This window comes from Homo sapiens, chromosome 2 (assembly GCF_000001405.40).
Source record: "Homo sapiens chromosome 2, GRCh38.p14 Primary Assembly".
In the NCBI taxonomy this organism is placed as follows: domain Eukaryota; kingdom Metazoa; phylum Chordata; class Mammalia; order Primates; family Hominidae; genus Homo; species Homo sapiens.
This window is the reverse complement of record NC_000002.12, coordinates 46,331,353-46,355,461: the sequence shown is the minus strand read 5'-3', so window position 1 is coordinate 46,355,461 and position 24,109 is coordinate 46,331,353. Positions and strand designations below refer to the sequence as shown.

General features: G+C 46.5%; 1 protein-coding gene across 2 annotated transcripts in view, besides 1 other annotated feature; it reads right to left on the bottom strand.

Moving 5' to 3' along the window:
- The window catches only part of EPAS1 (endothelial PAS domain protein 1), an 89,291-nt gene that overhangs the window by 31,236 nt on the left and 33,946 nt on the right, over positions 1-24,109 (bottom strand). For both annotated transcript variants that reach the window (NM_001430.5, XM_011532698.3), the window contains exon 2: positions 8,399-8,589. In NM_001430.5, coding sequence (NP_001421.2) covers positions 8,399-8,589 — 191 coding nt within the window. The remainder of the gene's footprint in view (positions 1-8,398; positions 8,590-24,109) is intronic.
- Positions 3,358-3,652: an enhancer, noted in NCBI's record as "tiled region #14137; HepG2 Activating non-DNase unmatched - State 17:Gen3', and K562 Activating non-DNase unmatched - State 23:Low". NCBI's record gives its function as "activates a minimal TATA promoter and a strong SV40 promoter by Sharpr-MPRA in HepG2 and K562 cells {active_cell/tissue: HepG2 | K562}" and the evidence as "EXISTENCE:reporter gene assay evidence [ECO:0000049][PMID:27701403]".

The window sequence follows — 24,109 nt, the reverse complement described above, 5'->3', positions numbered from 1 at the left end:
CAAAGGTATAAAGATTGCAAAGCTAGCAAGCTTTGACAGCTGAATCCAGAAGCCACACTCAACCATTCATAGGCTTTGGAGTTAAACACAGGTTCTATTCCTAGATCAGCCTCCTATTAGGCTATGACTCTGGATAAGTAACAACCTCTTTGGATATCACTTTCCTCATCAGCTAAATGGGAATAACAATTTCCATCTCTGAATTGTAAGGATAAGTACGTAAAGTGCCTAAAACTATAAGAACAGTAAATTCTTTCTTCTTTCTGCTCCAAGACATGCACTACCCTCAAATTGCTCAGATCCCAGGTGAGGAATATGTAGCACTCAGAGATGCAAAGCTAAATAAAAGTTCAAGGGTGTCATAGCTGGGCTCCCAAGGAAAAGTGTAGATGGGAAGAGCTCTAAGGGGTCAGAGGACGAGGGGGTCGCTTTGGGGTGATCACAGACAACTAACTGTTGCAAAGAAGATTTGAAGAGTCTTAGAAAAAACAGATTTCACTCTGTGGAATGCAAGAAGGGCCTTCTGAACCAGACGGGATTGTGTGAACACTGGAAAACACCTGGAGCAAGCTTCAGTCCTAGGACTGAAGAGAGGCCCATCTGGCTGAAGAAGAGAATCCATTTCCCAGTCTCAGAGATTGGGCTGGTGAGGCAGGCCCAGTGTCCTGGAGGGGCCTCACATGTCAAGCAAATGTGATCAGAGGAGTGCATCTCAAAGCACTGCTTTGGGGAGATTAGTCTGGCAATGGCGTACAGAATGGTTTGGAGAGAGTGAAGCCCAGAGGTGCAAAACAGAGTGAGCAGGCAACTGCATTCTCAGCAGGCCGTACAGGTGGTTGCTGGGTGCAGCCTAGGAAAACTTCCACCCGGAACCACCCACACTTTGAGTATCCTGCCCTATCTAGTATACCTCTGCTATCTGAAAAATATAGACTCGGCTCTTGTCCCAGACCAAAAGAAACCTCTTAGGCCCCAGGCCTTTGGTTGTTATACACAAACCACAGACTTTATTTCAGCCCTCTTCTCCTAGTTCATTATTTAACTCCAAAGACATTTACTTATGAAAATTTGTATTTATCCAGTGCAAACATCAATCAAAATATGCCTCACTTGATTTACAGAACAAGTGGATGAGAGTAATATGTCAGTTGCAAACATTAACATTCACTGAACTAAAAGGAGTCTTCCAAATGGAGACTATTCTAAGGAATGTAGAATGCAATTCAATTTATGGGCCACTTGGCCAGGGACACATCAATGCTGTGAAATGTCGTTCAAGGGCCTTTCTGCAAGGGAACTGGGTTTCTCTTTTATCTTTTTCCTGGAGCCTCTAAATTTAAGCTTTGGGTTACCTGCTGTTATTCCTCAAGAAGAACAAATCCACATTACAAGATCTTCCTACCAAGAGGCTTCAGTGAAGGCAAAGGGGACCAGCTATCTTTCAGGACACAGGATCAGAGAACACGCCAGAGTCACAGATGCCTTTTGCAGAGGATCACAGTGGGTCCTGTCCGGGGATGGGCAAGGCTTCAGAGCCAAGAGTTGGGTTGTACAGAGTAATGCCCCGGTGGCTTTCCCTCTGTTCTGCTAAAATGGTGAAACAAGGGAAATTCTTTCCTCTGCACACCCTGGTTCAGGCGGCTAGCCTGGAGAGGGGAGAACCACAGGTCATGGGAATGACCTTACACCATACACATACGCACACCTGATCCCTGCTTGGGGTTTCTGCTGATACACCTGTTCTCTGCCAGCTCATCAGCCCGCTGAAGCGATGATGCAATGTCCCAGGTGTGGGCGATGCCACTGTGAATGTTAGCTTTCCCAGCTAAAATCTTCATTTGAACAGGGGCTTTAGGGGAGAAAATGACTTAACTCAGTGCTTTCAAATTTGAGTATGCATCAGAATCATCTATAGGCCAGGCTGAAAGAAACATTTCTGAGACCAGCACTGCTACATAATTTGCGTGGCCCAGTGCAAAATAAAAATGTGAGACCTCTCATTGGAAAAATTAAACCAAGCCTGAGAACTTTCTAAGTGTGGCGCCCTCTAAGACTGCCTGTGCTGCACGCCCATGAAGCTGGCCCTGGACGGGCCCCTGCTGGGTTCCTGGTTCAGTAGAACTGAGAATCTGTTTTTCTAAAAAGTTCCCAGGTGACGCTGACCCTGCTACTCATAGGACCACATGCTGAGAGCTATGGCCTCAACTCAAAGATCCTACGAGTGACCTTAATTACCCTGTGCTGGCAGGTGGTGACTTATTTTGGAGATGAGTGAGGAGAGGTTTTCAGCGCCACTTCAATCACACCAGATAGGTGACCACCTTCTGTAGATACACAGAGGCCAACCCTGTGGTTTCTAGCCAACCGAGAAGATATTTTCTCTTCAATTTCTTTGATCTCAGTGGTAACGCTGACTTCAAAATCTGAAGTAATCCCAAGACAACCCTATTTGGGTTAACTAGTCCCAGAGGAAATAGTCCTGCTTAAAATTTCCTGTTTTTAACAGTTCCAACACAGCCAAACTGGTTTCCACCCATGCCCAGTGCATTTGCTTCCAGGAGGTGGCGAAATCGGCTACAGCAGCATCGGGTCAGCTGGCCTCCGGGAGGGAGAGGGGCAATCTAGGGCCACGAAGGGTAACAGAATGTCTTGGGACTGCGGTCACAATGGCTGGAGGACCAGGAAGCCAGCAGGTTGGCCCCAGGGACCCTGTGACGGCAGGGCCGGGACAGGGTCTCTTCCCTCTGTGGAACTAGTTGCCCTCACAGCACCTGCTTGTTCTCCTGGGAGCTTCTGAAGGAACCTGGCCAGGTCACTCCCAGCTTGGAGCTGAGAGTGAAAACTGGGGAGCCAGGAGGTAGCCCCTCACCGTGGAGGCTCATGTCACAAATCTGCTGAAGACCCTTCTGCCTCTTCCCCTATGAACATCGTGTCTTCCCTGACGTACCATTAATATCCTACTCAGTGTTACGGACATGGGAAAATGCACGCGCTCCCTACACCATTATTAAGTTTCTACTGTGTTCATGTCTGCTTTATGCTAGGCACAAGGTAATCTGTCCAGAAGTGTCACTTACTGTGTGCTCAGTCCTGTCTTAAGGAGAATCAGGGATACTGAAAGGTGTAAGGGCAGTTCCTTCCCTCGGAATCGACAGACTGGTGGGGAAGACAGATAAACTGCTGTAAGGTGATGCCACAATCCAGCATCAACTCTTGGTCAGAACAAAGTGAGGAGCCCAGAGTAGGTGCTCAATAAGCCACCAAGTGGGTCTGTAAATCATCCTGGGCTCCAGATCTCAGTTACTTGCTTCCGAGGACCCTTCAGGGTCTGACCCCAAAGACGAGAGATGGCTCATTAAAACCAGAGGTGCTCTGCTGAGAAAGTGCATGCCCGTCCTGGGGAGCATAACAAGATTCTTTAATGCTAAAAATAGCCCCGGTAAACAGGCTTTGATGACTCCCCACAGCCAGGATATGCGCGGGCTGAGGTTTTGGAGCACTTTTTCCGGAGCAACGCTCATTTCCTTCAGGCAGCACCGCCCATGTGGGGTGGGACTTCCTGGGCAGCAGGGGCTGTGCATTGGGAGAGAGCAGGCAGAGTGGCAGAGCAGAGGCTCCTGAGTGGTCTCAGAGACCAGGCTGCCCCACGGTGCTGCTGGTCAGAATGCTGGCTGCACTTTTATTCCACCAAGGTCGCTTTGCCTCTTGTTTCCTACTCCGAGAAGTTCCAGGACTGCTCTGACTGTTCTTAAAGCCATTCTGATGGGGTCTTCCTGGTTCAGATGTGCTTGGCAGTTACCACTTTGTGACCACCACAGGGGCCTTCCTTCTAAGGCTCTGCCTAAACTGATTCCTCCCCTCCACCTGACCCACAGCCTGGCCCCTCAAACCCCGCCCTCCCGGATGTGCAGACTGCAAGAGCAGTGCCAGTCAAGCCACAGGGAAATCACTCTGGGATCGCTTACTGGATCCTTAGCCATACCTTTAAATGCCACCATTAGCAGGCCTGGGCTCCTCTGATGCCTTTGACAGAAGGCACTGTGTCCTTCCTGATCTTCCTGGGCTCCCTGAGAGTCCTGAAAGTCCACTAGGAGAGATTCATGCCTTTGTTCTTTGCATGTATCTTACTATCCTATCTTGCCTCTCTGTATTACCCTTGATGTAGTACAGGACTGGGTTCAGCAAACACCTGTTGACTGACGAGACTTTTTAGTTTAAGTTAAAGGAATGATCTGAACAAAGTCAGTATCTCTAGAAGAGACTGTATATTAGCTGTTCTCACCCATTAACATCCTCACATGAATCAGCTTATTGAGTTCTTTCCAAACAGGACAGAAAAAGGCCTTGATTTGGAGTGGGTGGGACAAAGGGGTGGAGGTAGGAGTGAAAGCCTGGGAAAAGAAGTCTGAAAGTGGGGTGTGAGAGGGTACCAGAACATATATCTGCCTCCACAATTCTTTCTTTGTCCCACTTTTCCTGCATGGAAAGGTCATATCAAGCCTTAAAAACTTTAAAATCACTTGTCTCACATTTTAATATCCTTCCCTTAGTAGTCTAGAGATCAGGAAAATATAATCTCTTGTTATAACTGATGTCTTCGCTAAGCAAATGATGATGAATCCATAATGCAACTGACACTTCTCTTTAGAAACCTTGCTTCACGCTGATCTCCAGGTCCATGGAAAATGAATTTGATTTCGCCATGTATGAGTTTGGGCAAGCCCAAAATTCAGTTTTACAATGAAAAGCAAATTTTGTATATTCACTGCGGTTTAATGCCCTCAGAATGCAGAGTTGACCCTGATTCGCTCATGGTTTGTGGGGCTCATCTTGAAAGAGGATTTAGGACAATCAAGTGGCATTTCCACCGATGTTCCTGTAAGAGTGTGTTCTGTCCTCAGCCCAGCGTGGCAGCTAATATCATAAAGCTATTGTTTCAGTTTGCTTCCTGTGATACGAATCTCAATCGGCAGCCCAGACCCACAGCCTGAATTTCTCAACGTTGAGGTTTCCTCTCCAACATTCCCACACAGAACAGCCTACTGTGAAAATCAAAGGGAAACGTGTTACTAAGTAAAGAGAAACTTTTCTAAAGAAAAACCTGGTATTTTTTAGCCTTTTGAACTTTGAGGTATGCAACCAGCTATTTCCTATTATAAAGTGAGCCAAAATTGGTACTCACCTTTGTTAGAAATGCTTAAATAATGAATGTGTGGGTTGTTTTGCCTTGGAAAAGTTTGACGACTCTGCATTTTGATAGAAATTGCTAGAAAGTAGGTTAGAGGATAGTAAGAATTTACACTGGGTTTTCTTTTACATCATTTCTCCAGAAGCCTATATTTAATATAAATCAATATATTTGTTCATAATAATTTTTATTTCTAAGCTATAACTTATTGAGAGCTTAATATGTGGCAGGCTAGAGGATAAGGCCTTTTATATCTGTTATCTCAATCCCCAAATAACATTGCAGGGTAAGCACCATTATTCCCTTTGTGCAGATGAGGAAACTAAAGCTCAAAGAGAAATTTTTACTACATTGCAGAGAAAGAAGGCAGCCAAACTAAGATTCCAATGCAGGTCTATCTGCCCACAAATCCCGTACTCCTCTTCATAACGCTACATGTGTTGGAAAAGCAAAATACGATTTAGAAAGAAAAAGATCTTGTCTTACAATTTCTGAAAATAACTTAACAATCAGTCTAGCGAATGTGTGGCAGGAGCCTGGGAGAGAAGTCAGAGAAAAGCGGGTGCTGAGAAACCATCTCCTCCTCCCTGGGCTGTGCTCGTTTGGTGAGAATTTCTCCTTCAAGGACATCAGGACCACATGGCCAAAAGTAGAAACTTTTTATCCTTTTCCTTCATTTCTTTCCTTGGGACAGAGAGGACCAGAGCTGACAGGCTAAAGGCTCTAGCTGGTCTAGGGCCGAGCCCAGCCAGAGGGCAGGCAAGTTTGTGTCCACAACTTTCAACAGGCTCCGGAGATGGGATAGATATGGGATGTCCCACTGTGGCCACTCTGGTCCTATCTCTGTGGGTGTGTTTAGCACACAGGGGTTCCCATCAGCACATGAGGGCTCACACCAGAACACACACAGGTAGATGTGCTCAGGGAGTCCAGCCTAACTCGTGGCCTTTTCGAGGCCAACCTTTGAACCACTGAGATGGACAGCCAGGCTCAGGAGGGCAAGCATGCAAAACGAAGCCCTGCACTAGGGGGAAGGACAGGACAACTCTCTGAATGTGTGAGGACCTCCTCCCCATCACGCTGGCCCCCAGCTGCTTCTGTTGACCTTTGTTCCCCTACCTTCTCCCTTCCCCCACACCCCATACCCCAGCCCTTGTCAGCATCTTTGCCTGACCAGGTTTACAAAATGCTCTTGCTGTCCCATGTCTGTTTTCCCATGGACCAAAATTCAAAAGGACTTGAATTCCAGGTGCAGGTTCACCATGTGCTAAATGTGTGACTTTGAGCAATCTTAACCTGTCTGTGCTTCACTTATCTGTGAAATAAGGAGAAACACAACGAGTCCAAATTTAGTCAGAGGCATTCTACAATTAATATACAGGTTGACTGTCCCTAATCTGAAAACCTGAAATCTGAAATGCTCCAAAATCCAACACAACATTCAAAGGAAATGCTCATTGGACCATTTCAAATTTCAGATTTTTGGGTTAGGGATGCTCAACTGATAAATACAATGCAAGCATTCCAAAATCTGAAAAAATTAAAAAATCAAAAGCACTTCTGCTCCCAAGCATTTCGGATAAGGGATACTCAACCTGTATTACCCCTTCTGGGGCTTTGTGTGGGTGGAGGAATTGGGAGTGGTGATGAAAGAAGCAATGATTAATCCAAAGGAATTAATGTCTAAGAGCAAAATCTCAAGTACCACAGCAGGAAAGCAGGGGAGAGGGTTCTCACTGTGGGGAAGGGGCCTCCATCCAGTCATTAAATCCTCCACTGTCTACTCTTTTTATGTAAAGATGATTGCAACATTAGCCAACTTGGCCCTCAGTTATCCAGTAAGACAAGCCTTTTTAAAGGGAGGGGTACACAAATGCCCTGTGATGGAGTCTCCCAGCCTTTCTTATATCCAGCAATCCAAGCCTTGCCAGGGCTCAGCCCACTGTTCTCTCTTTGCAGCATCTAGGATCATGTATCTGCCATTGTCTTGCATTGTTCTTTGAAAGTATTTATGGAGCATATCTTCCCCCTTGGCTCTCCTGCTCTTGTCTGCACATTTCGCCTCTTTAGGCCTAGCCCTCCAACCCCAGGCCCACTGAGCTGTCGTCCTATTTTCTGAAAGTCTGTCCCCCATATCCTTCCTGTACTACAGGGACCAGAATAGTACATTCTGGTCTGGCCTCCCAGCCTCACACTGGATTCCCTCTTTCCCAGAATAGCCACTTCATAACAGGATGGCGGAGTCCACCGTCTCCAAGGCACCAGGCTTACTCCGGAAAACTGAAAAACAACCACAAAAGAACCTTCCCTCCCTGAGTGCCTCCCTCATGCTCACCCGTCAGACACTGTCCCCACCTGTGGCACCAGACCAGGTGGGGAGGAGCACAACTCGTTGCCCAGCGTCCTTACAGAACTGACACCCCTGACGAGAATGTCACCTAGGATCTGAAACCAGAAGACTACTCAAGACACCTGTTTCTGGTCAGGACGCATAGGAAATGGTTTCTTGAAGAATGTAACTGAGAAAAAGCAAATGTCTTGTGAACTTTGGAGTTGCAGAGGTGCTAGGGAGGGGAGAACCAGTTATTTTCCGAGGGAGGGGTGATGTCAAGGACTCCCCAGTGTGAGTGAGCTCAGCCAGGCCAGGTGCTTTATGGACATCATTTCAGTCCATTCTCACCGACACCCTGGGCAAGAAGTATGTTTAACCCCATTTTATACACGAGGAAACCAATGTTCAGAGAGACTAAATGATTTACTTGGCCTAACTGGCTTCTCAGAGGGAAAAGATCATCCGGGCACACCTTCTTGCTGTTCTGGAGAAGGCACTGGAAGTTAAGGATTAGAATGCTTCCTGCGGACTCAATCTAGTGTGGAGGATGGGTCTTATGGCCAGATGGCAACAAATTGAGAAGTCAGCAAAAGCCGTCCTTGGTTCTCCCAGCCCGTGTTCTCCACAGCCTCTGGGTGCCCATGTTCTTCCCTGGTCCTGTCCCTGCCCTCCTCTCACAGCTGGATTCACGGTAAAGGTCACTGCTGGAAGAGAGATGTTTAACATGAAGGAATAAATCACTCATGATGGTGTTTCTGTGGGTGAAAGTTCTGTAGTGGGGTGACTTTCCAGCTCTGGCAGCAGAAGGGTCCCCTGCATATAGGAACATGCTGGTAAGGCTGGCATCTGCCCAGCCTAGGGGAGCCTGCTGGCCTTACCTGAGGAGAGGAGCTTGTGTGTTCGCAGGAAGCTGATTGCCAGTCGCATGATGGAGGCCTTGTCCAGATGGGAGCTCACACTGTGGGGCAGAGGCAGCTCATGGGCCAGCTCATAGAACACCTCCGTCTCCTTGCTCCGCCGGCACCGCGCAGCATCCCGGGACTTCTCCTTCCTCCTCTCCGAGCTACTCCTAAGTGGAGAAGAAGGGGTTAGTCCCGGAAAGGTTACTGTCAGCCTATCATACCTCTGGCCAGGACATCCCCATGGCCCCAACCCCCAGTGCAGCCACACTCCCTTACTAGACTGATCTGGGCTCACACCAGTTGTCTGAGCCACACACAACCTGCTTTGTATTGTTAGCTCTGCTTTTGTGTGTGTTGGTGTCTTCACAACCAAAGTCCTCCTCTTGCATTCCCTGTGGAGGCCAGAACAGGGCTTCACATGGGTGGAGTCTGGGCAAAGACTGGCTGATTAAATTAACTACCAATGCCTGGGACCTAGCCCTGGAATATCTGGGGATAGGGGTGAATGTCCAGGGATGGAAAGAGAAGGGTAAGGAAGCTATGATCAGTGGCTCAGATGGCTTTGTCAAGGGCTCTGGAGAACAAGATAAAAAAACTGCTTTAAGGTTCTTTTTCTGCATAAGACACAATCAGAAAAAATTAAGAGTAGTACTGAACCCTAGATCCCGCTTCATACCAGAAAGTGATTTCCACAGTAAAAACTGAAAATGCCATTACAGCCCCAGAACAGTTAGCCAGACACCCAACAGTCTAGAGTACCAACGTGCGTTCTGTCAAGGATTAAAAAGGAGTGGGCACAAACATTTTCTCTCTAAGCCCTGCCAGCATAGGTTGCCAGGCTGTCTCAGCCTCATTCTCCTCTTTGCTGCAGGATGGAACGAAAGATGACACGCACTGAAGCCTGCCTCTTTTAGAAGTCCTAAAGAAATCCTGGACTTTCTTATAAAGTCCATGGCAAGTTCTAGCACGGGCAATATTTAAAAGCCAGAATGTTTAGATTGGAGTTCTAACTTCTCTGCTTGTTAGCTCTGTAAATAAATCATTTAAACTGCTTAGCCTCAGTCTCCTCATCTGTAAAATGGTAACAATAGTGCTTACCCTACAGAGTTAACTGTGAGGACTAAATGTGATAATTTATGTAAAATCTTTAGCACTAAGCCTGTTCCAACTGTAAGCAATCAATGTTAGCTAATACTAATTAAAAAGATGGCCATGAAAAGACAATCATAAGAGTTAAAAAGTTACAAAACAGTACAGGACAATTCTATTTTCACAGAAATGTATTATACATAATACTTCCTATAAATTATATAGGAGAAAGGCTAGATGCATAATAACTATTATTATAGGTATCACAGACATAGTGCTTACAAGGACTGTTTTAAGCAGTACTACCTTGGCTTATTTAAACTCACACAACTGCCCTTGGAAGTAGGCATTATTATTATTATTATTATACCTAATTTACATATGAGGAAACTGCCCCATAGAGGCCAAGTAATTTACCTGTGGCCTCCAGCAGGTAAATGGGGAAGTCGGGCTTTGCACTGGGAAGGTGGGCCCCAGAATCATGGCACTTAACCACCAATGACTGTCCTGTCTCCTTCTACTCAAAAATGTTAGCAGTTGCATGGTAGTGAGGTTAAAGGGAGTTTTTTTGGTTTTTGTTTTGCTTTGTAATGCTTATCTGTATTTTCTTGTGTTTCTATAAATAACCTATATTGCGTATTTAATGAAGAAACAAGTATGTTTTTTATTTTTTTAAAAAGCATCTAAGCCAGGCATGGTAGTATTTGGACCTGTAGTCCCAGATGGGAGAATCACCTGGGCCCAGGAGTTCAAGACCAGCCCGGGCAATATAGTGAGACCCTGTCTCTATAAAAATATAAATAAGATAAAATAAAAAAGCATCCAGCGAAGTTCATAGGTTTCAAGGCCTCAATCCAATCAGCTCTAGCTGGCTCGTTCTGTCCTGCCATCTGAGATCCCAGAGGCTGCTTCTCCTTTTGTTTGGCTTTGCAGCCTGCTATTTGGACAGAAAATCTGTATTTTGGGATTCATGGAATGTGAGCATGCCTCTCAAATCCCTCAAGATTTGGGGCAGAAGCACTGTTTTGATTTTACAACATACTTCATTTAAAAAGACAGACTATCCAGCTCCGTGGATGGATTAAGCATCATATACTCGGATTAAAGGATGAATCGTCCAACAGCTGTTGATGGTCAAGAAGAACCTTCAGAAAAATTGTGAAATGAGTGAAACTATTTTTCTCGTCATGTCTCCCTTCTCTGCTTCCTTTATCTAATCCCTGTTTCCCTCTCTCCCTGACTTCCAACCTTCAGGACACCTACCCCTGCACCCCCCTTTCCCCACCTTCTCAGGACTTGCCCTGATTAGACCTTTAGTGGCAGTTTTTATATTAGTCCCTCCCACGTGCATTTTAATCCTGACCTGATTGTGGAGAAAAAGTTAAAGAATTGCAAGTATTCTGGCACAGGAAAGGAAGATGGGAAGAGGGCAGGATGCTGAAACCGCACACATCATGCCTTTGGATCAGGAGGGTCAGGTGAAAGATGCTGGATTTCATTACTAACCCTTGTGCTCTCCAACAAAAGCATCATCAACACATAACCTCGTCATCAGGGGCCAAGGGAAGCCATCCTGAAGCAAAAGCAATCCCAGCACAGGCTATGGCATTAACGCCAATATCTGCATGCACAAAGCTTCCCTCTGCCATTGGCCCCTTCCTCGAAGAAGAGGCAGAGAGGAAAAGCCAGGTAGGGAAAAGGCAATCTGGAGTCAATGCTCTGACAATGGCATCTGATATATGAGTCTTGCTGTGCTTTTTGTGCCTGGTGCTCTATCAAAAACCTTTCATATATTAGTTCATTATACTCTTCCTAACAACAAAATAAAGTAGGTATTGTTTACACAGTTTAGAGATGTGGAAACTGACGCTCAGAAATAATATGTCATTTGCCCAATGTCACAAAGCCAATGCCTACATAAGCCATTTAAGGGTTTATAGTCAGTGAGCAGACACTTAGAAGTCCGGAAACACACAGGGGATCCCTATCTAATTCCATCCTTGCAACCAAGTGAGGTAGGCAAGACAGGTACTGTCACTGTTCCCCTTTCACAGATCTGGAAACAGACACTTGAGCAGGTAAGTTACTTGCCTAGAGCAACCCAGCTAATCAGTGGCAGAGCTAGGGCTAGAACCCTGCTCTTCCTAGGCGAATACTCTTTTCACTGCTTAACTGTAGGAGATAGTGGCTTTGGCAAGAAATAAAGAAACAGCAACACCTTAGCTTCCAGAAAAAGGAAGATTGAGAATCTTAGGCAGCCTCTTGGTTCAAAAGTCAGGGAGGTGGGATTTCAGCTGAACCTAAAAGGACAAATAATAATGCCTTTACAGAAAGCACTTCTTCTTAACATGTGTTATCTCATTTGATTCTCACAACCCTGAGAGATAGAAACTATCATCTCCATTTAATAGATGAGGATGTGGAGATTTAGAGAGATTAAATAATTTGCTAAAAACATTGTCTCAAACCTAGTTCTTCTGGGTCCAAGATCAAAAGTTTTTCCATTGGCAGCAAGGAGACTATCATTTACTGTACAACTTTGATGTTCCCTGTGCTGTGTTGATACTTTCCCACAACCTGGATGCTCACACATACTTTGGGAAGAAGGGCTAATACTTTTTTAAATACAGTGACAAAAATTTCATGAGGGGAGCCTCATGTCTTTAAGTGTGCACCCATTCACCTTAGGAGAACACCTGGAATGTTAAGAGTAGGACTAAGAACCAGCATCAGAGTTCAGATGGGGTCGGCGGGGGAAGAAGGGACTAAGTGCTGTGGGCCTTAGCAGACACAGGTGCCGGTCACAGTAGTGCTGGGAGGGTGGGGGAATGTTATCAGATGTGGCTCTGCAGTGTTCCATAAAAGCAGCAGGTCCAACCCTGCCACAGTATCTATCTATGCCGCAGGTGGAGAAAAAGGTGTTTCTTTTTGTTTTGGGTTTGTTTTGGGTTTGTTTTTTTTCCCCCTGGACATTTTCATATGCACAAATTTATAGTTACTCTCCCCGAGGTGGAAACTCACATTCTGAAACGTTTGATCCCAGCTAAAGTTAACAACCACTTAAGCACCAGGCAGCCAGTCAAAAGATAAAACAAAACTGAAATGTCCAAAAATTGTCAGCAGAGATATGCTACAGTTCATCCAGGAAAAACCTCTTTGCCCAGAGCTTCGTTATCTTAAAAACATCTTAACTTTTAGGTCATTGCTCCGAGCATGGCTTAGGGATCGCTACTTAGGTCATGAATCTAAGGATGATCTGCTCTTGGTCAAGATGATCTTGGTTCCTGACTTCCATATGAACACAGCCTGGAGTGAGGCCCCAAGATGTCTGTCACCAGTAACACAGAGGGGTTGGCTGCCTAATTAGCTAGACTTTTAGAGTGATTAGGACTCACATGCCTAATGCCTGTGGCCATTCAGGTATCAAAACAATATGCCTATTACCCTATAAGGTTAAATGGCTTAGAAACAGAATGGATTTCAGCAGGTAAAGAGATGACTGAGGCTAATTAAGCCAGCTGGGATCAGTCTATTGGTTGGTGGTGAAATTCCAAGCTGGAGCCAATTTGCAAGAAGCTGAGAATGGAGGAAATAAAGGTCAAATGCAATTGGGAGAGGTCTAGTGACACTTCTATGAGGCTTGTGGCTGCTGTACAGGGGCTGCCTGATAGGAGAAACACACCCAGCTCCAGGTTCCAGAGATGAGAAAGAGTCACTGGTCCCCATACTTAACTGGGGCAGAACCAAAGTCGGTGGTTCTCAGTTTTGCTGCTCACTGGAGTCACCAGAGGAACCTTAAAAAACAGATGCCTGGGCTCTATCCCCAGAGATTCAGATTTAATAGGTCTCAGGTGCAGGCTGGGCAATGGGAGTTTTAAAAGCTCCCCACGTGTAGCCAGGGCTGAGGACCACGGTTCCAAAGCAGCCAGTTTTTAAAGGAAGGATGGATGGGTGGGTGTGTGTGTGGTGGGGGGAGGCAGATGGGGTTGGACTTAAATGTTTTTGGAGATGCAAACAGCTATGTCACCTTTCTCAAAGAGTAGGATGAAAAGGAAACATATTTATTGAGCACTGGGGCCAGATGCATTTAATAAATGGTCTCATTTGATCCTCACTTAAATGATGCAGTGTTATTGGCCCCAGTTTTGCAGAGCCGTGGGTCTCAATTTTAGCTTGCATCAGAATCACCTGGAGGACTTATGAAAACATAGATTTCCAGGCCTGTGATCATGTGTCTATGGAAGACTGACGCCCAGGTCCACTTCCAAAACCTAACCACACTCTTTCCCTCTACCATGCACTGTGTCCATATTCACTGTGTCCAGCAAATTTGAAGTCACCATCATAAGCCAAACAGTCATTTATCTAGGAGTTGGTGTGATCACCACTGTACCAGATGCTATGGCTAATAGGAAGAGGGAGATGAAAATAATGAGACATGTGAAATAGATGCCACACAGAAGGTGGCTACCCTTCAAAGAAGCCACCTTGGGAGAAGCCTATAACTTTATGCTGGTAGGTGGCCATCGCTCTGTCTTTTGGGAAGTCTTTTAGAATTAACTTCAGAGCCACATAAGAAAATCAGTCACAACTCTTCAAAGGACACACCTCATTTCAAACCCCAAACAATATTATCCAGTTTACCCACCCCGTTAGTCACCAGACTTAGCTGTGGATGGATTGTGGTTGTTTGATAGGATAAAATGTGCCCTCAAAAGATAAGACTTTGCCACAATTGAAGGTATTGAAAAGAATGGTCTTGGCTGTGAGGGCCATTCCAAAGGAGTGACAAAAATGTTTGAGATGAAGGCAGTGTTCCAGTGGTCAGTGTTCTAGGTACATTCTGATGTCCAAAGGCTGCAGGGATCAGTAGGGGAATCTATCACAAAGGGAGGAAAGGTATCAATGTTAGATAGTGAAAACAGAAAATAGGCCAGGCACAGTGACTCATGCCTATAATCACAGCACTTTGGGAGACTGAGGCAGGAGGATTGCTTGAGCCCAGGAGTTTGAGACCAGCTGGGCAACACAGCAAGACCCCATCTCTAAAAAAGTTAGAAATTAGCTGGGCACGGTGGCACACACCGGTGGTCCCAGCTACTCAAGAGGCTGAGGCAGGAGGATCCCTTGACCTGGGAGCTCGAGGCTGCAGTGAGCCATGCACCACTGCACTCCAGCTCAGGTGACAGAGTGAGAACCCATCTCAAAGCAAAACAACAAAAAGTTACAAATTCAGAATGGAAAATATTAAATTAGCAAATTCAGGAGGAGCTGGCCAGATCAGACAGACTTTGACAAGAGAAAAAAGGCATTAATATGCTTTAATACACACACCTCTCCTGAGGGGCATGGTCTCTATCCTGAAAGAGACCACAGCCCATCTGGGAGATAAGACTAATAATCCACACTAGTATATCAAAAGTCTACAAGAGGGGACAAAGAAGAGAGAAGACATGAGACTGGAGTGGTTAAAACAGGGACAAATGCTTTCACTTGCCACTTCCCTGAAAGAGGAATCCTGGAAAGCATCTCATACCTCAGCCTCCCAACCTCCGCTCCGCTGGGGCTGAGCCTCCAGCTCTCTGACCTACTCTAACGGTCTGTGTCCCTGGAGCAGAGGGCCTGGACTGCATTCAGCGCTGACAGTAATGTCTGGGGCTCACCCAGCATGGCCCTCTAATGGTCAATTCTGCTTGGGTTGACTGGAGATACTTATCTTCTGGCCTTCTCAGCCCCAGGCAGCCTTGTAGAAAAGAGCAGCAGATTCGATTACTAAGCAGCCCATCTGGGGCTCCAGATAACCCAGCTCCTTACGTAACCGGAGGACACGTGGACTCCCCAGCCCAGCTGGGAAAAGCTGTGTGTACACAGGAATAATCATAATGAACTGTCCCTGTGCTTAGCTTCATCAAGCCCAAGCCTTAGTGGGTGCCAAGGTCTGAATGTTTACGTCCCCTCAAAATACTTATGTTGAAATCCCCACTCCCAATGTGATGGTATCTGAAGGTGGAACCGTTGGGAGGTGATTAACTCATGACAGTGAAGTCCTCATGAATGGGATTAGTGCACTCGCAAAGGAGGCCCAGGGGAACCCTCTCACCCCTTCCACCATGTGGAGACACAGCTATGAACCAGAAAGTGGGCCCTTACCAGACACTGAATCTGCTGGCACCTGGACACTGGACTTCCCAGCATCCAGAACCATGAGAAATGAAACTCTGTTGTTTATAAGCCACTCAGTTTACGGTATCTTGTTGTAGCTGCCCAAATGGGCTAAGACAGTGGGGCATTCTTTATTCTACATATTAGTGAATAATACCACTTTACATTTGGATCACACACTACAGTCTAAAACACTCGTGAGTGAATCTGGAAATCTGTAACTAAATTTGTAAATTTCACACAGTAGGCTAGGAAGAGCAGCTACCATCATTCCCATTTTAGAGATAAGGAAAAACTGAGGTTTAGAAAGGTAATGGGAGTATGTGGAACTGGAACAAAAGCCCCGAGTTCTGGCTTTTTCAAGGCCCTGTGAACAGAGCGCCTGCTGACAAGCAGCACTGGCCATGTGGCACGATTAGAAACAGACCTTCATTATCTGTCCATCATATAACCTAGCTTTTCCCAACACATAATTTCCTTTTTAAAAATGCCGTGGTGAAGATAAGGGTAATGCATATTTAGTATAAGCAACTTCAAAAATACAAAAAGGTATGAAGAAAACGAGCTGAGATCTCATTGGATTTATAAATTAATACTTTGCTCTTTTTACTTAACAGGATATCCCATTAAGAATTCTTTCAAAATATTCATAATAGCCAGCAATATCACATCATGTGGCTGAACCACAATGCATTTTACTATTCCCTTATTGCTTTTCGTTATGGTTTCTAATTTTTAGCTGTTATAAATAATGCCATGACAACTACCTTGGCATCAGGTATTGCTTACTTCTTACAATAAAAGATATGTATCCAGCTTGCTGCCAGCTCCCCGTAGCCACCTCACAGTGACCCCACCCCCACCCCATGAAAGCTGAGTTGGCAGATTTGGCTACACTGGCATCCTCAGGACCACAGCCAGCATTACTGAGCACAAAGCATGGGTCACGGTGCTTCAGAGGGCAGTATCAGAGGGAAGGAAGACAGAACATGCAACAGTCTCAGCCTTGGAACCAGGCTCAGCCTCCTTTTCCCATGGCCAGCTCTCTCTAGGCTGCTTCTCTTCCTCATGCATACGCAGGTCAAAGCATCTGAAGAGAAGACCAGCTGTGCTAAAACTGGTGGCTTCCTTTGACTCTAATCCAGTTCTGAGAAGAGGGCCACCCTTGCTGATGAGCAGGACCTCTTCCCCCACTGTAAAAATAAAGTGTTCTTTCCATCTTTCCCACCCCTCATCTTATCCACTGCAGGGATGTATAGAGAAGACTCGGTGCTGTCTTCACTCATGAAAAAGCAGGGAGAAAGCCAGCGGGTGCAGGAGGCATTTGCGTGGCTCTCCATTGCTCTCTGTGGCCTCTGATGTCTGCCACTGCCCGACCCCTGACACCATGCAGCCTTCAGCTAAGAGACTAATTAACCTCCGCAAGCTGAGATACTGACTATATAACTAGGAAACAACCACATGTGACTCTTTCCAGTTAGTAAAGAACTCTCAGCATATTGCTTCTGTTTAATCCTGAATCAATCTTGCAGAGCAGGTGTATCACTCCCATTTTACACATAAGGAGACAGACCCCAAGGATGTTAGTGGCATGCCCAGCCATCACCCAGTGATGGAGCCAGCACTCAAACCTGGATCATTTGACCCTAAATCCCATATTCTTGATTGTAATTGGGTGACCTTCCCTACAAGGCCAATAAGCAAGTCCCTCAGGTTCAAAAGATTTAGCTGAGCTGGGCATCTTGAGGGTGAAGCCTTCTAGGATACTAAATCTGATGAGCTTTTTGAAACATACACTTGGTCTGGGAAGCAGCAAAGTGAGACACGCTGGCCACCATTTTGCCTGAGGCCAGCCCCTCAGCTGGCACACCAGCCCCCTTGGGATAGTTCTCAGCTTGGAGAAGTCTGTCTTTAAAAGAAAAAGAAAAAAAAAAGGTTTGTGCTTTGCTTGCGGAGTCTACAGCTGCCACAGGTTGTTTCCTTCTCACCAGACTGTTTTCTTTGGTGCCACCTCTCTGGGCTTGAAGGTATTTCCCCACACCCAGGCTGTTACCAGATCTGATTTAGATTTTTTTCCTTAGGGCTTCTACCCATCAGCAGCCTTCTTCCTTTGGATCTCACAAGCTTCCAACAACACCATCTGTGGTTTGGCTCAAACCCTTCTGCCTGTGCTGCCATCCTGTTCCTACAACACTGCCTTCAGCTAAGAAAATTGACAAAGAAATTGCACGGCGGTTGAATCAAGAAGAAAAGGCCTGAGATGTAAAACGGATTCCTCGGCATGAAGCAAACTCCGTGGGGCAAGTGGGGAGCAGTTTCCCGCCCCACTTCAGTCTCTAGGGGGGACTTAGCTACTGCTGCTGCCCCTCCCACTCCCTGCCTGGAATATACTCTCTCCATCTCCCAGGCCTGTCTGAATTAGGCTCATATTTCAAGATCTCCCATGCATCCGTTTCCCTAGGAAAGCCTCACCTGCACTGACTTCTCCTCCAAGTCCCATTTCAGAGGTTACACACGCACGATTTGGCCCTGTGTTGCTCTCCTTGATTTCACTTCTGTGGCTTCTGTCTCCCTAACTAGACCACATACTCTTCAGGGAAAGAACCCCACACCTGTTCTTTTGGTGTCCTCTAAAGCATCAGTAGTACAAAGTGGTACAAACTGGAGACATCGGATAAAAACCACGTCAATGACTTCAGTTCTGTGGATTCCTCAAAGCTGCTCACTGTTCTAGATCTTTCCTAAGAATTCTAACCCGGCTCTTAATTAGAATAGACGGTTTCCATCTGGGAAGAGTCACCCTGCGGACACTCAAGGTGTGTGTGTCTGTTGGTGTTTTGTCACCTCTGTGAATCAAATCTGGGGTCTGAACTAGTGCTGCTGACAGCTGCCTGTGGAGTCACCCAGAGCAGCACTTCCCAACCTTTGCTGTGGCCAGGAATCACCCAGGGATCTTGTTACAGTGCAGGCTCAGTAGGATCTGGGCTGAAGCCTGGGATTCTGCCTTCCTAACAACCCTCAGAGGATGCTGATTCTACTAGTCTGTGACCTCACACTTTGAGTAGAAAGAGACCCAGGAACACGTGCGATCTTGAGACTGAAGATGCCATCTGGCAGGGTTAGTGCTGCCTGCTGCCATCCTAATCTGAGGCACGTAAAGTCCAACAAGTCCAATCTTCTCTCTGGCCAGGAAGAATCCTGTTCTCTTTGTAGCTTTCTTTATGGGATTTTACTAAGCCCTACATTAATGTCCCTCTCCTCCTTCAAGTCTTCCCTACCTGTATCATTTTATTCCTTCCTATTTCTTCAAAACCCACCCCTTAGGACCAGCCCAAGCCCTACTTCTTCCAGCAGTGTCCCTGGCCCCTTAGCAACATTCTCCAGGGTACTTCCTGCCCACACTACTCATAGGCCCTTATTAAAGGCCTCCCTGTCTTGGTGGCTTTTCTATGCAAACGTTCTACTCCTATAACTGTGCTGTAAGTACCAGGGGAAGGGCACAGACACAACATCTTCCACTTTCGTGTATCCTTCAGTGGAACCTGGGCTAGGGCAGACAAACTGGGTAAATATTTGCTGATTGTGAAAGACAATCAAAAATGCCCTTTGCTCTTTTCCTTTCCCTCTCAAGGAGGAAAGAAAAAGTGATCCCAGCTGCCTTGGCCTCCATCCCCAGCCCAGCCTTGCTCCTCTCCCAGGCGCTGCAGCTGGGGCGGCTTAGATTTTATTTCGCTCTCTGCAGCTCCTCTTCCCTTCAGTGAAGAGTTAAAGCATCGGGAAGGCTCCTTCCCACTTGGAAATCTCCATTTCCTCCTGCAGCGTGAACAAGAGAACTCTATGGACAGAGGCCGAGTGAGCCAACTGCGCAGGGAGTGAACTCACTCTGAATGGGGCTGTTCTAACACCCGCCAAGTCAAGTCATTAAGATGCCATCCCCGAGGTGCAGCCCCCAGCGTCACCTCTGGATATCCATATCCTCAAGCCCGCCGGCAGAAAGGATGAATGGTGAGCACAGAGCTGGTGAAAGCAAGCTCTTTCATGAGCAGGGCGTGAGAGGACCTCTCCGGCTCCTCTTAAGGTGGGGGTGGGGCGCTTCGGAGTAGAAGTCGTTCCTCCTCTCTCCCACTGCCTCCTCTACCACACCGAACTAAAATTAACCCTCAAATTTACAGGGAGTTACCCAAAAGATTGCTCCACAAAAGGCAACCAAGAAGGGGGCTGGGTAATAACATTAGAAAAAATATCTGCAATGCCAAAAATAATCACTGTGTCATGAGAAAACAGAGCTGGACTGCCTCAGAGGCCAGCACTGGGTATATACAGGAAGGAGGGGGCAGAAATTCCCCTGGCAGTGTCGTCAAACATTCTGGATGGAAAAAGGCGGGTGGGGGGCGGGGGTGCACATAACCGGGACAGACAGTTGTCAGAACTCTTTTCAAGTACAGAATATGATTTTAAGGGTCAGTTCTCTCTTCTTTATTTCAGACACTTTAATTTCAAAGAAAACATTTGTTTAGACTTTTAATCAGGACTGATGCTTGATCACATGCTAATAGTGAAATATCCTAGGATCTGCCTTACTAATCCCAACATGTTGCCAGAACTTCTGGTTCCTGGAATTTAAAGTATTTCAAAACAGCAAGAGAAGGGGGAGAAAGCACGGGATCCCTCACTCTCCTACCCCCATCCTCATAACCCCTTCTCCCCTCCCTATTAAAAAAAGGAAAGCAAAGAAAGAGGAAAAGTGAAAGAGGAGAGAGCTGGTAGAGAATCTGTCCTGGGCTTCCTTTATAAAGAATCCTGATCTGAGGCCTGTTCACATGGTCACATGTCTAGTATTGTGGGATCTGATTCATGCCACAGCGCGAACACTTGCTTTCCCCCAATTCTGCCCTCTCTTGCTCTGATGAGAAGTGAGATGTCTGCGCACATTTCCATTCCTTTGTAAAGAAGTCATCAAAAGCCACAGGAAATGCTAAAAGTCTTTTCCAAATTTATTATCATGCTCTCAAATAACATTGAGCAATTTGGGAAATAAAACTGTATTTTTCCCCCAGCAATGGCTTATTCCCTCTGCTCATTCAATATATATTAATGATTCTCTCTTCCTACGATGGGGCTGTGAGCAGTAGAATGAAATGTGGAACAACTATGCCTGACCTCAGGGAGCTTGCAGAGAGGTGAAGAGCCAAGTCCTGAAGAATGGGCTGAACAGTCAGGGCTGTAGGAGTTTGGGAGGAGAAAGCCTGCAAGGCTGGAGAAGACAGGGAGAACTCTGCTGGAGGTTGGCTTTGAAAGAAGAGCAGGATACAGGGAGGCAATCAGGATGGCAGAGGGATGACAAAGACACACTGGGAATGGGCAGAGGTGCCAGTGGTCGGGAGACAGGCTAGAGAACAGGGAGCAAGGCATTGAGAATCTGGGTGGGGAGAACGCATTCATTAAACAGACCTTGTTGAGTATCCATAAGGTGCCAAGCACACGAAAGGGCTTTAAACAAAAGGACAGGTAGCTAAAGTCAGATGCCCGGATAATTGCCTAGCCTGTTGTCTGATTAGTGGCTGAGGTGCCAGGTGGTGGGCAGTGCCAGAACCCAACCTCCATGCTCCTCCTGCTGGTCATGCTTTGGCCCTGCTGGACAGCAAGTGTGAGAACCCCTCTTTTCTTGGCACCAAAGCCAAGGAAAATGAAACCCTCTGTTGGAAGCTCTAAATATGGCAGCAATTCCTGGGCTGCCACAGGCTGGAGCCTCAGCTCAGTCCACAGAGACCTCCGCAAGGCATTCTTGCTGAACAGTAACTCATAAATGTTACCCATGGGATGAAAAACAAACTTCACCCAGGGCACACGCCTCCTCTGGCTCTGGTGGTGTTTTATTTATTTCCACAGACCTTAGTCCCCATCTTCTGTTTGTTTCCCTTGCCCCTCACTTTCTTTACCACTGACCAAGAATAAAATTTGAGTCAGATCTTGGGGCAAGGAACAGCTCGCCAGCCCACCACTCTTTCCCCAAAACCATTTTCAGCTTGTCGCTCCCCCATTTTAAAATGAAAATTGCTCCCCACCATCCTCATGATGAAGTCCAAGCTGGACGTGCTCCTTGAGGTCTCCCAGCCCTTTCCAAACTTAGCTCCTACGATCCTGTAGCTCCACGCTTACTCCAGCCAGACCACACTATGCCCTGCCACCCCCAAACTCCGCACCCCTTTCTGCTGCCCAGCCATGTCCCCAGTTGATTTGTTCCACCTGAAGTGCTTCTTCCTTTCTGACCTTCTAAACCCTAAAGTTTGAGAGCCAACATAGGCCTGCCACCTCCACAGAGGCTTTTCTGAGCATCTTACCGAGCCTACACTGGTGTCTCCTCCTCACTCCTGCCTGGAACACTTAGACAATCTGTGCTACTTGACTGCAAGGCACCGTCACCTTGTTAGTCCTAGTTTTAAGGTTCTCTGAGGGCACAGGCAAAATGTCAAACCTCTCATGTATCAAAGTACCTTACTCCAACAATAATAGTGTCATACAGCCCTTTCAGTTATGGTATGGTGAGCTGGCATGAAGATTAAATCAGTCACGGTCCCCCAGCTGTGGGGGTATTGCAGAGTTCCAATGCTTTAGTGCTTCCAGTAGAAAGTGGATTAATAAAGGCGAGTGATGGTGGCTATATTCATCACTAGGTTGCTTAACACCCCATGACTCCTCACTGTCCCCAGGAAACAAATCCCTGTATACTAAGGATGTTTTCACACAGAAGTAGCTGGCTGTGCCCGCTGTCCACATCATGGGTGTGTTTCGTGAGCCAGCTGCTAGTCAGCTCTCACTGACACAGGTGAACAAGTCCGGACAAGGGCAGACCCCTCCCCTCCTGACCCGTCCCATCCTTAAGAGGCCAGGGAGGTTTCTGCCTCAGATCCCACCTCCTCGACACTACAGAACAATCTGTTGCCCAACACCCGTGGCCCAGAGCCCTCACCTCACATGTGTAGGTGCCCTGCTTGGACTCAGATTTCTGGCAGAGGATGCCAGGGCTTGGCCAGGGTTCCACCCTTCTGGTGATATAACATAGAGGTGAGAAAATGGGCCAAGCCCCAGGGGGAAAAAGCCACTAACACAAAAATCCTAAGAAACAAAACAAAAATGAAAACCTAATGACATCCCTAAAGATCAGCAAGTGGGGCTAAAGAACAGCCCACACTTTGGAAAAAACACTGTCCATTAGCCCAAACTTCAAAAAGTCCACTCTACTCTACTCCTCCGCCTTTGACTTCCCTGCAAGACACACATCAGACGAGGAGGGGGTTAACAGAACCCAGCTGCCCCTCTTATCTGGCTAGCCTGCTAATGGCGAATCTCTGCTACTGAGGTCCCGTCAGTGATTTCTGCAAATCACTTTTATTAGAGATAATGTCATCTTTACTTCATTATCCAGCCCAGCAGCCAAAGAGAAAACAAGTTGATACACACACACACACACACACACACACACACACACACACACACGTATTTTTTTTTTTTTTTCTGTGAAACACCAGTTCTGTCCATTAACACTGACAGGTGACAGGGAACTGAAACTCCTGGACCATTCTTATAAGATTTTGGTCAAAACTTGGCACTTAACCCTCTTTTTCCTGGGACAAGCAGAGCACACCCCACAGCCTCTTCCCCAGAGCCTCTAAAGCAATGGTTGGTTTCTGTGCGATGCTCATTGCCCTGGCAGCTGAAGACAGGGCCGCTGGTGACACCATGGCAGGCCGGCCTGCACACTCAGTTCTGTCCAGCAGATAAAACAGTTGTATAACACGCAGGCAGGTGAGTGCAGGAGCACTGCTAATTCTACTTTATGCAAAGCAATAATTAACATGTGAGTCAGCAGCAGAGAAAGACTTTAAGCCCGGGGAAAAAAAAACAGCCTGAAAGTCCTGAAGCCTCAGAGGCAGCGCCGTGTCTGATTAAACGATTTAGAAGATTAGAGTGAGTGTAGGGAGACCTAAGTGGAGGTGGGGTGTGACTGCAGTGGCTCTCCCTGAGTAGTCTCTCAGCTGTGTCCAGGATACTCTGAATTTCGGTGCCGGTTGGTAGAAAGAAAAGGTTCATTTTTCCAGAATCAACTAAGAAGTGGTCTTTTCTGTCTCTCCGCTTAGTTATTTCCCTTAATTATTTTTAAACCTCGGAGCTTTGGCTTCATTGGAGTGACGTCTGATGGCCACAGAGATTCTGACAAATGCATCTGTTCTTTTCCCATGGTGGTCTGCCAAACCCCACAACTCTATGCCACCTAGAGGAAAGATCTAAAGCAGTCAGAGTTCTAAAAGGCCACCCTTACATAGCTAAAACAGTTTTGTTTTGTTTTAATGAAAAAGTACTTCTTGGCATTTTAGCATTTTTGTAAAAAGTATGGCTCCTTGGAATTTAAATCACATCTGGTCTTTGTTTGATGAG